At 33.5% G+C, this 15,566-nt stretch overlaps 1 protein-coding gene across 9 annotated transcripts in view; it reads right to left on the bottom strand.

Annotated features, from left to right (window-relative positions):
* ATRNL1 (attractin like 1) overlaps positions 1–15,566 on the bottom strand; it is an 855,635-nt gene that overhangs the window by 761,870 nt on the left and 78,199 nt on the right. The window lies entirely within an intron of this gene.

Here is a 15,566-nt window from a genome sequence, read left to right as displayed (position 1 = left end):
TCACCAATACTTGTTATCTTTTGTCTTTTTTACAGCCATTCTAACAGGTGTGAGGGGAGAGATCATAGATCATTGTAGTTTTAATTTGCATTTCCCTGATGACTAGTAATATTGAGCATGTTTTCATACATCTGTTGGCCATTTTTATGTTTTGCTTTATAAATTTTTTTATTTTTAATTTTTGTGGTCACATAGATGTATATATTTATGGGTTACATGAGATATTTTGAAACAAGCACACAATGCATAATAATCACATCAAACATCTATTCATTTCTTTGACACAAATAATCCAATTCTACTGTATTATTTTAAAATGTAAAATAAACTGTTGTTCACTATAGTCACTGTTGTGCTGTCAAATAGAGGATTTTACTCATTGTATATATACTTTCTGCACCCATTAATCATCCTCACATCCCCACCAACGACCCTTCCCAGCCTCTAGTAACCATCATTTTTCTATCTCCATGAGTTTGTTTTTATTTTTAGCTCCCACAAATAAGTGAGAACATGCAGTTTTCTTTCTGTGCCTGGCTTATTTCACTTAATGATTTCCAGTTCCATCAATGGTGCAAATGACAGGGTTGCATTCTTTTTTATGGCTGAATGGTACTCCATTGTATATATGGACCATTTTTTCTTTATCCATTCCTGTTGATGGACACTTAGATTGCTTCCAAATCTTGGCTATGATGAATAGTACTGCAACAAACATGGGAGTGTAGATATCTCTTCGCTATAATGATCTTCTTTCTTTTGGGTATGTATCTAGCAATGTGATTGCTGGGTCATTTGGTAACTCTATTTTTAGTTTTTTTGAGGAACCTCCGAACTGTTCTCCATCATGGTTGTACTAATTTACATTCCCACCAATAATGTATGAGGGCTCCCTTTTCTCCACATCCTCGCCAGTGTTTCTCATCATTTGTATGTCTTCTTTGAGAAATGTCTACTTAGATCCTTTGCCCATTTTTTAATCGGGTTGTTTTAAGTTGTTGTTTATACATTTTGGATATTAATCTCTTATCAGATGTATAATTTGTGAATATTTTCCCCCTTTCCATAAAATGTCTCTTCATTCTGTTCACTCAGTTACTTATCTATGGCTTGCTTTCACCCTATAATGGCAGAATTGGCAAAACTGAATAGATGAGACAGAGACTGTATAGTCCACAAAGCCCAAAATATTTACTATTTCAACTTTTACAGAACTGGTTTGCAGAACTCTACCACACGTAATGTCTCTTTCTGTAGGTATTATATACAAAGGCACACAGTGTCCAATTCCCCTTAGTTTGTGATGTTAATTTTGATCACTCAGACAAGTTATTGACAGGTTTCTCTACTATGTAGTTACGATTTTTCTCCCGCACCTTATCAGCAATCTGTAGGGGAGACTTAAATGCCGTGCATATCTCATAAAAAAATTTCATACCCACCCCCACAGATTTAACATCCATTGATGATTCTTTCCCATCCCAACTTTTACTATGACTTTTGCAAAATGATTTTTCAACTCCAGCTATGACAGTCTGCATCCTATGTAGAGGCTTCCCTTCTTCTGTATTTGTACCTGTCTGTCTACTCTCAGTGTAAGCTTATGCATTCCTATTTTTTCAATAGTTTTTAATGTATTTCTTTCTTAAATTATTTTAATGCTCAAATTGTCCCATGTTTTACCAATGGGATCCCCTAGAAGGTGATTCCTGTGTTCTTTTGACATGACCCATCGTTTTCTTGAGTGCTTCCTTAATTTGATATAACAAGATGTACTTGGCTTATCTTTACTTTCCTTGTCACAGTCATAGAATCAGCTCCTCCAAGGAGCCCTGCTTTCTTTCCATAGGAAATATTACAAACCAGATCTGGGAATACGAGTGCTCAGTGTGCTCACTACTACTGGGGTGTCTTAGCTTCTGGGCCCTTTCAGAAGAATCTACATCTATGTATTAACTTATTTATTTATGTATCTACATATCCATGTATCTATTTATCTAAGTAACCATAAACTCATACTGATACCTCCAATTGCAATCCATCCAGGCCAGGATTCTTCCTTGACTCCCCCATTTCATAGCTGCAGTTCTCGTCTTCCACATGAAGAACTTTGGTTCCCAAAAAAATATATTTACTTATTTTTTAGTCTAAACATATATCTAAAATAATTTCAGAATTGCTTCACCTAAACCTTCAAAAAACAAACCTCAAAGATTTGTTTGCAGTCCTTCTTCGCATCTAAACCTCGACTGAGAGCACATAGTCAAATACTGTGTTCAAAAATCACTTGCATTAGTTCTTTTCATCCCGTTTCAGAATGATTATCCTATTCATTTGAAACATAGTTGGGTTCATTTGTTTCAGCTTACATTGTTTTATGATTTTTTTCTTCCTTTCCTTTTTTATTTAATTGTTCAATATGTAAATGATTAATATGATTCTAAAAATCAATGTTTCTAAGTCAAGACTATTTTTTTAAAAGAGTAAACACAGGTAAATATACTTTCATGTCATATCTTTACCATACCATTCTCTACCACCCCTTGTAAATAACCAACATACTTGTTTTCTGGTTTATCTTTCCTGTGTTCATTTTTGCTCAAATTAGCATGTGTAACTATATTTTACTTCCCTTACACAAAAAGTAGTACATGTATATATATTACTACTTCATAGTTATATAGTTGTGTGTATATATATATATAGTTATACATAGTTGTGTATATATAGTTATATACATAGTTGTGTGTGTGTTTATGTGTGTGTATATATATATATAATCTTGCACTGGAGATAGTGTGCACGCTTGTTTTGTTCTTGAAGTGAATAGAAATGCTTATTTCCCTTATTAAGTATAAGATGCTGGCTTTGGGATTGAAACATATTTATTATGTTCATACAGTAGCCATCCATTCCCATTTTCTCAAGCGTTATTAGAAATGTGATTTTTTTAATACCAATGAAAATAATATCATTTTTCTCCTTTGACCTACTAATATAGTGAGTTTTATTAATATATTTCATAATAGTCATCCTTAGATGCTTGGCTATATATCCCACTTAATTATACTTAATTATCTATTAATGTGTATTTTATTATTAAATGGGATGTATACCCAGGCATCCAAGGATGCTTATTATAAAATATATTAATAAAACTCAACACACATTAAGAAAAGAATGTGTTGGAGTGTTCATTTTATTTAGAATTTTGTGTTGATATTTAACGGGGAAAGGTTTTATTTCATTTTTAATCATATACATATGTAAATTTTCCATTTCTGTGTAGTGGGTTTAAGTGGCAATGTTATACTTCCCTTATAAAACAAATTTGGAAGTTTCCTTCCTTTATCATTCTCTAAAACAACCTACATAGCATTGAGACTATCCAGCTATTAAGATTTTGCTAAATTTACTCTCTGGTATCATCTAGGCCTGGTGCTTTCTCCACTTTTTCTAAGGAAAGTGCTTTATACAAATTTTTTATATTTACTGGGTTCAATTTGAAAAATTGCTACTTTCTATGAAATAATTCATTTCTTCAACATTTTCAAATTTAATTGCATTGTTGTACAAGATAGTCTACTATTTTAATATCCTATCAATATTATTTCTCCCTTGTCATTTCTTGTTTTGTGTATTTGTGCTTGCTCTCTTGTTTCTTGATTAAATGAGCTGCTGGCTTCTCTGTTTTTTTCAAAAAAATTAATCTGTTTTTCTGTTCTTACATCATTAATTTCAGCTTTTATTTTTATTCTCCTCCTAGTTATATAAAAAGTTATGCAAAAATCTTTACTTGTTGGTTTAGCTATTCTTTTTCTAGCTTTTTGAATTGGGAATGTGGTGCATTTATTTTCATTCATATTAATAGAGTTGTTTAATGTTATAAATATACTTCTGATAACTGCTCTAAATGTATCCCATAAATCTTTATATGTGTTGCTTTTACTGTCACTATTTTTCAGAAATTCTGTAATTTTTCCTTGTATTTCCCCATTCACCCAATAGAAAGATTTTATTTAATATTCAGGTGTTTATTTTCAATGCTTCCATTCTTGGGAAACTACTAATTTTTTATATATATATTCAGTCAATTTTTGTGGGTTTTCCATGTGCATTTGAGAAGACAACATTCTCTATAATCGGGCTGTATTGTTCGCTATACATCCTTAACTTCAACTTTATTAGTTATGTTGTTTAGATTTTTTTAGATATTTTCTTATTTTTTATCCTATCGTGTATTGACAATAATGACTGACCTGTTTTGTACTGAAGTGACACTGTTTCTCTTCACTGCCTGTGGTTTCTGTTTTCTATAGGTGGTTGCTGGGTTGTCTGGTGTATAGATAATATTCTTCTAATATATATCATATCATTGTGGTGAATTGTGGGTTTTAGTAATTATAAGGTATTCTTGTATAATGTTTTGATATTCCCTGTCTTACTGTAATCATTCACCTATGAAATCTTTCTCTGTTCCTTTATTTTCATCGTTTCTGCATCAATATGTTGTAAATGTCTCCTAAATCAAGCATAGATTTGGGTTTTGTTTTATGCAGCAAGTTGAAATGTTTTCTTTTAATAAACAAGTTAATCCCATTCCCATGTACTGATATTATGGTGAATCTCAACTCTGTCACAGAATTTTATGTCATAATTACTGTGTGTATGTATTATAATGCATATTTCTGAGTTTTTTCCTATTTGATATTTCTTTGCTTTTATTTCTTTTGGTAGGTAAGAACGTTTATATCTTTGTTAGTGTTTTCCTTTGTGTATGTATCTTTCATAGTGCCCTTAATTCTCATCTTTCTTACCTAATTTTATTATCTGTTCTGTCAGTTTTAATCCTCAGTATACCTAGAACAATAGTAATCAGCATTTATCATGATTCAATAGTTCCTTTTAGTTGCTTTATCACATCATAAGTAATTTACACAAGAAAAAAGTGTCAGTCAAAAACTACCTTTTGCAAATTCCAAAAAGAATTTAAATATAGCAAACCTCTTTGTTTTAAAGTGTTGGGGCATATAAACATAATAAAAAATAAAAATGTATTGTTCACTCACTGAATCTAAGAGTTTGAAAAAATTCATTTAGGATATCATTTCCTGAAGATCCATAGTCTGAGATTTAGTGTAAACTCACCAGAGTTTACAGGGTTACCATCTGTCTCTTTGCATTCTTATCTGTCTCTTTGCATTCATCTTCTTATTTGTCTAATTACTGCGAAAGATCTTTCAACTTTTTACTAGTATGGGCAGAAAATGAAAAATTTTAAATTCTCAACTGTGTTCAACAAAAACTAAAAGCGGACTACAATGATGGTACTTTGTCTTCTTGTATGCCTTCTTTAAAGGTAATAAAATACTTCGGGCACCGCAATAATACAACTAAAGGATGACAGTTTTTTTCACTGTGGCATCATCTTTCTAAAAAACTTCTGTTTTATTGTTAATTTTTAGCATAGTTGGAAATAATTGATAAGTAATGAATTAGTTCCTAAAATGATAAATAGCAAAATGCTTTAGAACACAGAAAATAACAACATTTAAATTCCACAGTGTATCTTTCATTTTTAAAAGAATGCAACAGACCCATCTGGTAATTACAGACAGAATATTTTATTCTGATTTTTTTTAACAAGTAAATGTTCTCTTTGTTCTTTGAAAGACTTCTAAGAAAGAATAAAATGTATAAAATAATAGTCTTCGCAAATAGTTAGGCCTGCTCAGAAAACAAACTAAAAATTAAAATTGGGTCCAATAGACCTTGATGGAATATCAAGTGTTAAATGGCATCTTTTGATTCCTATCTATTACATATGCAGCTGTCAATGTTCTTATCTCTGATTTCCCCTTTCCTCTCCCTTCTCCCATTTTTAACTGCATTATTTCTACTTGGACAAAACATGTAACATTTGCACATTTAGTTGTCTACACATATTCCTACCTTTATTTTAGTCTTAGCTCTAAAATTAAGTATGGGAAATGTTTTCCATCAATCTTTTACCTGAAGTGTTCCCATTTATCTGTTCATTAGGTGAAGCTCATTCTCCAGGACAGGGATTGGAAAATTACAGCCCATTAACTCCACCAATTGTTTTTGTAAATCAGGTTTTATTGGACATAGCCACATTCACCCTTTTATGCAATTTATACTGTTTGTATACAGTTTCAATGGAAGAACTGAGTAGTGACAACAGAGTCAACAGAATTTAGTAGGATACAAAGCCTAAACTATTTACTATCTGAACCCTTACCAAAAAACATCTGCAAACCTCTACCCTAGTATATAAATTTCTCAGGTAAGGGCACACACATACAGTATTAACTTAGTTTTTCTATGTTCAAAATTATTTTTGATAGCCTTGACACTTGAGGTACAATTTGGCAAGACATAAAACCCTTGGTCTATACTTTCTGAAGTGTCTTGAAAATTTTGTTCCATGGTTGCCTTGATCTGTAGGTTGCTTTTGAAAAATCTGATACTAGTCTAATCTCTTGCCCTTGTAAGATATTTCATCTTTCTGCTGGAAAATCCTAAGGATTTTTTTCTTTATCTCTTAAAATGCAATAGTTTATCAGGATATGTCTCAAAATGGCTACTGTGGGTAAATTTTACTAGATACCAAATCCAAAAGCTCAAAAGCAGGGAAATAGGTAAATAAATTGTGGTAGAGTTATACAACAAATAAAATACAGAAATATAAAGAAGTTAACTGCAGCAATATATAATGACATGGATGAATCTTGGTAATAATCGTGATAAACAAAATCAAAGAAAGCCTGAGAAAATGGCATAAATACAACCTTTTTATAAAGGTCAAAAATAAGCAAACCAGATGACATGCACATGTATATGTGATAAAGCTATTTTTAAAAACAAATATACAATAAGAATTTCTGGATTTCAGAATAATGGAGAAGTTGAAAAAAATCAACAATTTTTTTAAATTAACATGATTTTAAAGAGAAAACTTAAAGGAATACAGCAAATGGGCTTTTAAAAAAATAAATATCCTCCCATCAAATACACTTTGGAGGTATTTTGCTAGTAAGACAATGATTACTTCTACATTGATAGCATAATAACCAAAAAAAAGTTGAGTCTGAGTTAGCATAATTCAAAAAGAAATTTAAAAGAATATCCAACAAAAAGGTTTTCTTGAATAAATAAGAAGAAATACATAAATAAGGGTTCTGCTTATTAAAAAACTGGAACAGCTACTCTTGAAAGATGATAAATATATTAATCTTTCACATTAAGAGAAAATGCAACATTAAAGATGACCATGTGACATTAAAATTTAAAAATTCAAAAATAAGCATAGAAATGGACTGAAGGACCTAATTCCATGCTATTCTGAAATGTTTATACTTCTGCCAACATTTTTATCCACTAATAAAGTGTGAAATCCTCCCACAAGACACTTCTTCCTCTCAACTTCCAGAATAAGAACATATGAAGGATCATTTTGGTCAAAAGTTATATTTGAATCTCTAAAAAGCCAATAGTAGCTACTATATCAGCCAGGGTGCTGACAGGAAATAAATAATATGATCAAAACAATTATAAAGTATCTAATAAAGGCTATTTATAAAGGTATGACCAGGGCAATATCCTGAGACCTACCACAACAGGAAGACTTTACCACCCCTTGGCCTTAAAAAAGCAAGAGGAGGGAGTGTTTCCAGAATTCCTAGAAAATAGCTATATGAGGACACCTGACAGTTCAGCCTTCAATAAAGCAACACAACTAACCCAAGGTTATCCAGCAGGGAGAAAGTTGGTGGAATAAAATACCACAACCCCACTCATCTCCCACCATCAGATCTACCACCACTGGCTCAGCCTACCTGGAAGCCAGAGGGCATGGAAACAGGATGGAAAAAAATAAAAGGTAGATGTGGAGAGACAAATAGAGGACATCAAGCACAGCATGTTATGAGTCACCACTAGAAGGAGAATAATAATTACGTATAGTACACAATTTAAATAATTTGGTTAATATACTAAAAACAAAGTCAAGAAACAGATTCACACTTTTAAGGAAAGTGTGATGAAAATCGTATTTATTCATCCACAAATATTTATCAAGCATTTAATATATGGCCCTTTACTAGAAAGTATACACACAGGAGATATGTTGCAGAATTCCTCCTCTAAAACTTCTTAGAAAAAGAATATAAATTTTTTTAGAAAAAAAAAGAGTACCTATAAAAAACAGCATATATGTAATTAATAAACAATGGAAATTTATTTCTAACAGTTCTGGAAACTAGGAATTTCAAAATCAAGGTGCTGGCAGCTTTGGTGTCTGCTGAGAGCTACGCTCTGCTTCCAGATGGTGCCTTGTTTGCTATGTCCTCCAGAGGGGAAGAATGCTGTGTCCTCACATGGTGGAAGGATGGAAGGCAAAAAGGACCCAGCTAGCTCCCTCCAGCACTTTTTGTAAGGCACTAATCCACTCATGACAGCAGAGCCATCCTGACTTAATCACACCCCAAAAAGCCCCACCTCTTAATACTACCGCAATGGGGATTAGGTTTCAACATGAATTTTGGAGGGGACATATTCAAATTGTAGCATGTGTCATATTCATTTAAAAACAAAAGGACACAGGAGCTTAGAGGAAAATAAAACTACTTCCAGAAAATGAAAAATGCAGTAAATAAAGCTGTGGATTAAGAAGTCTTTTCATCATTATACAATTATGAAGGCCACTTCCACTCTGTGACAAACAAAAGCATGTGGAACCTTTACTGCAAGCTGATTTCTTCATTAAACATTTTCTGGATTTTTCCAACAATTTTGAATATAAGTCTTGTTGTCACTGTCACACCTAAGCACTTGATAACCCGACATCACTTTTAGAAGTTGTACTCTAGGATGTTCTCACAAAAAATTTCCCGTCCTTGGCCAGGCACGGTGGCTCATGTCTGTAGTCCCAGCACTTTGGGAGGTCGAAGAAGGCAGATCACTCGAGCTCAGGAGTTCAAGACAGGCATGGCGAAACCCCATCTCTACTAAAAATACAAAAAGTAGCTGGGTGTGGTGGTGCATGCCTATAATCCCAACCACTTGGGAGGCTGAGGTGGGAGGATCACTTGAACCCAGGTGGCAGAGGCTTCAGTGAGCTGAGATCGTGCCACTGCATTCCAGCCCCTGCAACAGAGTCAGACTGTCTCAAAAAAAAAAAAAACAAAAAAAAAAACAAAAAAAACAAAAAAACAAAACCAAAAAAAAAAAAAAACACAGCTCCCTTCCTGATTTATTTGTGTATGCTTCACACTAGCTATTTTCTTAAGTATTCTGTTGTCTTATCTCTATAAACATTTTCATATTAATCAAGCCACACTGGATGACACAGTACTTTGTAATCCCAGAACTTTGGGACGTCAAAACAGGCAGATCTCTTGAGGTCAGGAGTGCGAGACAGGCATGGCGAAACCCCATCTCTAGCAAAAATGGATAGGTTCTCTACTAAGAATGGGTAGGTTTTGGAGACATAGTCCATGGGACACATCAACTGACAACTGACAGGGTTAATAGTTAAAGAAAATTTCAGAGATTATGTGTCAATTAAAGCCTGGACCTTTAAATGGCTGCCTTCTCGTCCTTGTATCAACTCCCCTAACAGTGTTACCTACACTTTCCCAAATAGAATTATTTCACTGAAATCCTGTCTCATTGTCTGCTTCTGTAAAAATCCAAGCTAAAAAGGATCCTAAGTTTCTTGCCAGTTTCTGCTCACTTTGTGCTTTCCTTTTCAAACACATTTCCTTGAAAGAGCTGGTTCCACCCATCATTTCCACTTCTACTTCTCTCATTCCCTATTAAATCCAATATTGTGAGACTTTCACCCCATCACTACACAGAAACTGTTCCTGTCAAGATCACCAATGACTGCACAGTGCTAAATTCAATGATCAATCCTTAGTAATGATTGTACTTGAGGCATCAGCAGAATGTGGCTCCGTTGATTACTTTCCCACTTAATATTCTTTCTGCACTTGGCTTACACTTCACCGTACTCTTCCTTGCTTATCTTCCTTTTCTCCCCTACCTCTTATTATTCGGGGACCCTATAGCTCAATCCTTTTATTCTCCTTTTTATCTACACCCACTTCATTAGTGATCTGATCTAGTCTCTTGGCTTTAAGAACTCCCAAGAACTCCCAAATTTACACCTTCAGCCCAAATCTTTCTCTCTAGGACTCCAGTAAGAATATGGCACTTTACTAGAAAGTGTACACATAAGGAGGTATACTGCAGAATTCCTGCTCTAAAACTTCTTAGAAAAAGAATATAAATTTTTTTAAAAAAAGAGTACCTATAGCAACATATATATCCAACTGTCTGCTTGACATTTTCTCTTTGACATCTAGTGGCTATCTCACGTATAACATGTCCAAACTGAACTCCTCATCGTTAAAACACCTTTGCCCCAAACCTGCTTCACAATCTACTACATGTCGGTTGATGGCAATTTCATCTTTCCAGCTGCTCAGGCCCAAAATTTTGGAATCACCCTTGGTTCCTCTCTTTTATCTCACACTCTACATCTAAACCCTCAGCAAATACTATTGGCTCTACTTTTTTAAAAAATCCAACAGATCGACTAATTCTCATCATCATTTTTGGCCCAGATTACCGTTAACAACTTCCTAACTATCCTCTTTCTGTTCTTTCTTCCATAAAGTTTATTTACAACATGCAGCCAAAACAATTCACAGGACATAGGCATGGGCAAGGACTTCATGTCTAAAACACTAAACCAATGGCAACAAAAGCCAAAATTGACAAATGGGATCTAATTAAACTAAAGAGCTTCTGCACAGCAAAAGAAACTACCATCAGAGTGAAAGGCAACCTACAGAATGGAAGAAAATTTTTGCAATCTACTCATCTGGCAAAGGGCTAATATCCAGAATCTACAAAGAACTCAAACAAATTTACAAGAAAAAAACAACCCCATCAAAAAGTGGGTGAAGGATATGAACAGACACTTCTCAAAAGAAGACATTTATGCAGCCAACAAACACATGAAGAAATGCTCATCATCACTGGCCATCAGAGAAATGCAAATCAAAACCACAATGAGATACCATCTCACACCAGTTAGAATGGCGATCATTAAAAAGTCAGGAAACAACAGGTGCTGGAGAGGATGTGGAGAAACAGGAACACTTTTACACTGTTGGTGGGAATGTGAACTAGTTCAACCACTGTGGAAGACAGTGTGGTGAATTTAATTATTCTGACAGCATCTTTAAACTACATTTACCCATCATTTTGTACTCTTTTCTTTGAAAGTACTATAGATTATTTTATGACACCACATACTTTCAACATGTAAGCAGCAAATTCAAAATGCCTTAGGAATAAGTAAAGTAAGATATTAATTTTTCTATTAAGAAATAATTTTATAAAAAATTTGTTGGGTTTTGCTTTGTACTTCAATAATTCACAGAATGTGAAACTGCCCATGGTTTATCTATTATTCTTATAAAACTCATCAATCATGTATTCTTCCCATTTTCATCTTACACTACATTCTTAAGTATGCCTGACAAGTAATGCAGTTAGTAAGACAAAAATCAAGCCAAAAATACCCTGCAGATAAATTTATTTAGACATAGTATTTTGGTTGTAGAATAAGCCAAAAGAAACTCAATATAAAAATATGTTTAGATTATCTAAAACAAAATTGGCATTCTGTAATCAGATTATCCCAAATCAAACAAAAACCTACCAGGAGATTAATATATCAGCTAACAACCTATATCAATATTTATCACTAATAGTTGATCAGAATAAACCCATAGTACTTTCCTAGCCATCCTTGGAAAGCATAACCACCATTATGTCTGATGGCTGAGTGGGACAAACGTTCAATAAAGGAAACGATGAAGCACACGAAATATATTCTGCCAACTGTGAATTATAAACTATATTCAGTAAGGATGACATATACTAATCAGGTGGCCTAGAGATTCCATTTTAATGGCCAACATTGAAGGTGGACCCATGTAGGTATAAGATTAGAGAGTATCTATGTAAAGTCAAGATCATTGAAAGTGTACATCCTCAATGAAAAAGTGAGTTTTTAAAAATATGCTCCGTGGAGGCAGATAGATAGCATCTATTTCAGCCTTGGTTCCACATATACGAAACAACTATTCCCCCTGGGAACTTTGGGCCATTTACTAGATATCAGGCTACTTTGGGGCATGAATTTTCCCTATATATAATGTCCAAAAAAAAACTATATGCCAAATTTTAATTTAAGTTGGATCAGGGTTACTAGGGCCCTAGAAGCATACTCTTTCTCTTAAGAGCAAGTGTAGGCAAAGTAAGGCCCAAAGGCTAAATCTAGCCCACCACCTGTTTTTGTAAATAAATTTTTATTGAACACAACCATGCCCATTTGTTTATCTATTGTCTATGGCAACTTTCAGGCTACAAGGCAGAGTTAATTAGTTGTGACAGAGACTGTAAGACCAACAAAGCCTAAGATATTTACTATCTGGTCATTTATAGATGCCTTTTGCTGACCCCTGTAAATAAATGATATACTTACTGTTTATTTTTAATTTATTTATATTATAAAATGATATAATTATCATTGTGTTTGAAACAAAACAAAAATAACTAAAACAGTGGAAAACTGTATCCTATAAATTGGAGGTTGATCAAAGAATAAGAGTATTGCTTAACTTTAGACTAAGTTAAGTACTCATTTTAAAATTTCAAAAGTCAAAACCTGTGTTTCAAGGACAAATGTGGTAACAGTTTAGTTCTGAATCTCCCCCATTCTCCCTGGAAAAGAAATAGAAAACAAAAGGAAAACATGGGGAAAGTAGATGAAGTGAAAGGAAAAGAAAATTACATTTCCAGAGAAATTACGAGGGTAAAAAAAAAATTCCTCATAAAGTCTAGATTAGGTATGAACGTACAAAAATCAAGTGAAACCAAAACAGCTAAACAGAAGCAGCCACAAAAATGCTGAAAGGGCAATGAGAAACAAGTAGCATAGAGGAAACTAATGGAAGCAGATCTCAAAACTTACCACACCCATCCCCACAAAAAAATAAAATAAAGTTAAGGGGAAGGAGGGCCCTAAACGTGAGAAGAGCTATAATTAAAAACAAATCAACAAAAAAGCAAGAATGACTTTTTGAAAATACAAGACATGTACAGAAAATTTACAAAAAAAAAAACAGGAATCACAAAGCAAAATTCAACTCTCTCGTATGCAAGAAATACATTTTTTTTAAAGTGATTCTAAAACACTAAACAATAATAACAATAAAGGGATGAGCAAAGGTATACTAGGAAAAGACTGACCAAAAAAACAAAACAAGGGCAATATTAACGACAGATGAGGTAGAATTCAGGTCAAGAAAACATTAAACAAACCACTTTATAATAGTAAGTAATACAATTTACAATAAGCACATAACAATTATTAATATTTGTAATAGCAACTTCTATAAAACATAAATTCCAGAATATATAAGGAGAAATATGAAAAATACACTAACACTTTAAAATTTTACTTCCACTTTCACAGCAAGATAAATCAAGAACAAAAAATACTAAGTCAGTAACAGAAGGCCTAAACAATATAATCAATAAAGTCGATTTTATAAATAAATAATATCAAACTCCATACCTTGATATTATTGGATTTATCTTCTTCTCAAGTGCCTATCAAATATTTGTGAAAACTGAGGCACAAAGAAAATTTCAATAAATTTAAAAAGTAGAAATAAGACCAACATTTCCTGAGCACTATAATAAAACCAAAAATTAATAACAAAATCAGAAAAGAAAACTGCCCTTCTACATAGAACATCTGTTAACTCTTGCTTAAAAACTCCTGGGCCCATTTCAAAAGTTGGAATAACTCAGCCACACATCTGCCTCAACGTTGTCATGAGTTTGTTATGACAATAATGTATGTAAGCAAGCTTATTCAATGTAGCATTGCTTATTAACCATCACCCTCCAACGTGTTCTCATCAATAGCCATTCTCTCCTGATTACTTCTGTTTTCTCAGTAAAATAAGAACTAAGGTCATCAATTGCGAGTGATGATAGAGAAGGAAGTGTTTGAAACTTGAGGAGAGAGGAAAAGGTATGAAATAGTCATCCAGGAGAGCTGGGAGCGAGACCAAGCTACACTGGCAGAAGTTCCAGATGTCATTAAGGGCCAACTTGACATGAGTAATTATAAACTTACAGCTGAGTAAGTACCGGATATCATAAAAAAAAAAAAACAACTTGAGAACAGTAATTATGAAATTTAAAGCTAGGTACGTTTAGAAGTATGGGTAGGGCTAGAAGTATGGATTAAAAAGGTAGGGTTAGAAATATGGACAAAAAAAGAGTGAGAGATAGTGGAAAAACTGATAGTCTCAACAGACTAAAGGCTCTGGTAAGGTCAAAGAATTGTCAGAGTGTGGGCATTAGAAACAGTAAGCTGGAGAGATCAGTGGGACTTGAAAAGTAAGATATTTCATATGGAAATTATGGACTCATTGTACTGGAATAACAAGGTCTAGAACGTAACAATGGAGAGAGTGGCTCAAGGAGGATGGAAAACAAAATCTTTGGTAGATCAAGAAATTGACAGGCCAGGTAGGAGAAGTACTTAAGTGCATATTTACAACATAAAAATATTTGCCTTATGTATTCTGGACACAGTGACAGTAAGCCAGAAGCTAAATTCCTCAAGAAATAAAACACAGCCATCTGAGAGCAAAGGATGAGTGCAGGAAGGTGAAGTAATAGGTGATATATTCTGATGATGTAAGAGTCAAAGCCAGGCAATTTAAAGGAGGAGGAATTGAGAATAGAGTGGAAATGGCAATAAGAAGTAAAGGGGATATGTAACCCACTTTTGACCCAGCTGTACTGAGAATATGTAAACAAAAACAGCCATCACTTGAAAGGACTGCAAGGGAAACAGTGGAGTATTTCGAAGGGGAGTCTTCCTCTGAGCATACAAGTACTCTCTTGCTAATGGTGGTCTGCAAATGAGTTTTCTCATTAAGACTGCACAAGGACTCTAAATAGTTGTATATATAGTTGTCCATACACAAAAGAGCCAAGAATTTGAGTTCATCATACTGGCCAGAGCCAGAAAAGAATTATTTTCTTGAATCTGAATAACCACCATAGGGCATATATTTGTAAACAAACTAAAAACAATAAAGAAGGTTACCACTGTTTTAAAAATGTTATAAATAATTCAAAAAAATGAAGTACCAGAAAAACAAAATGGAGTAAAGGTATAGTACAAAAACTCACATGTAGATTGCCCTAGACACCTTCACCTTCACATAACAGATAATAATCTCTTATAGAAGCCAGCAGACTATCCTTGAGAAGCTGACTTTAAAGAAGTAATACATACATAAAGATATAGCAGTAAGATTAGAAATAGAATGCTAAAAAATAAAAAATCCTGAAACCATGCAATGCATAGTAAAGAGACTGGGATAGTTTCAGTACTTCGTTCATAAATAAAATCCAAAGAAATAGCACCACCTACT

The sequence above is a fragment of the Homo sapiens genome, chromosome 10, assembly GCF_000001405.40.
Source record: "Homo sapiens chromosome 10, GRCh38.p14 Primary Assembly".
Classification (NCBI taxonomy): Eukaryota; Metazoa; Chordata; class Mammalia; order Primates; family Hominidae; genus Homo; species Homo sapiens.
Note: the sequence above shows the minus strand (reverse complement) of the source record. Positions and strands in the feature narration are given on the sequence as shown.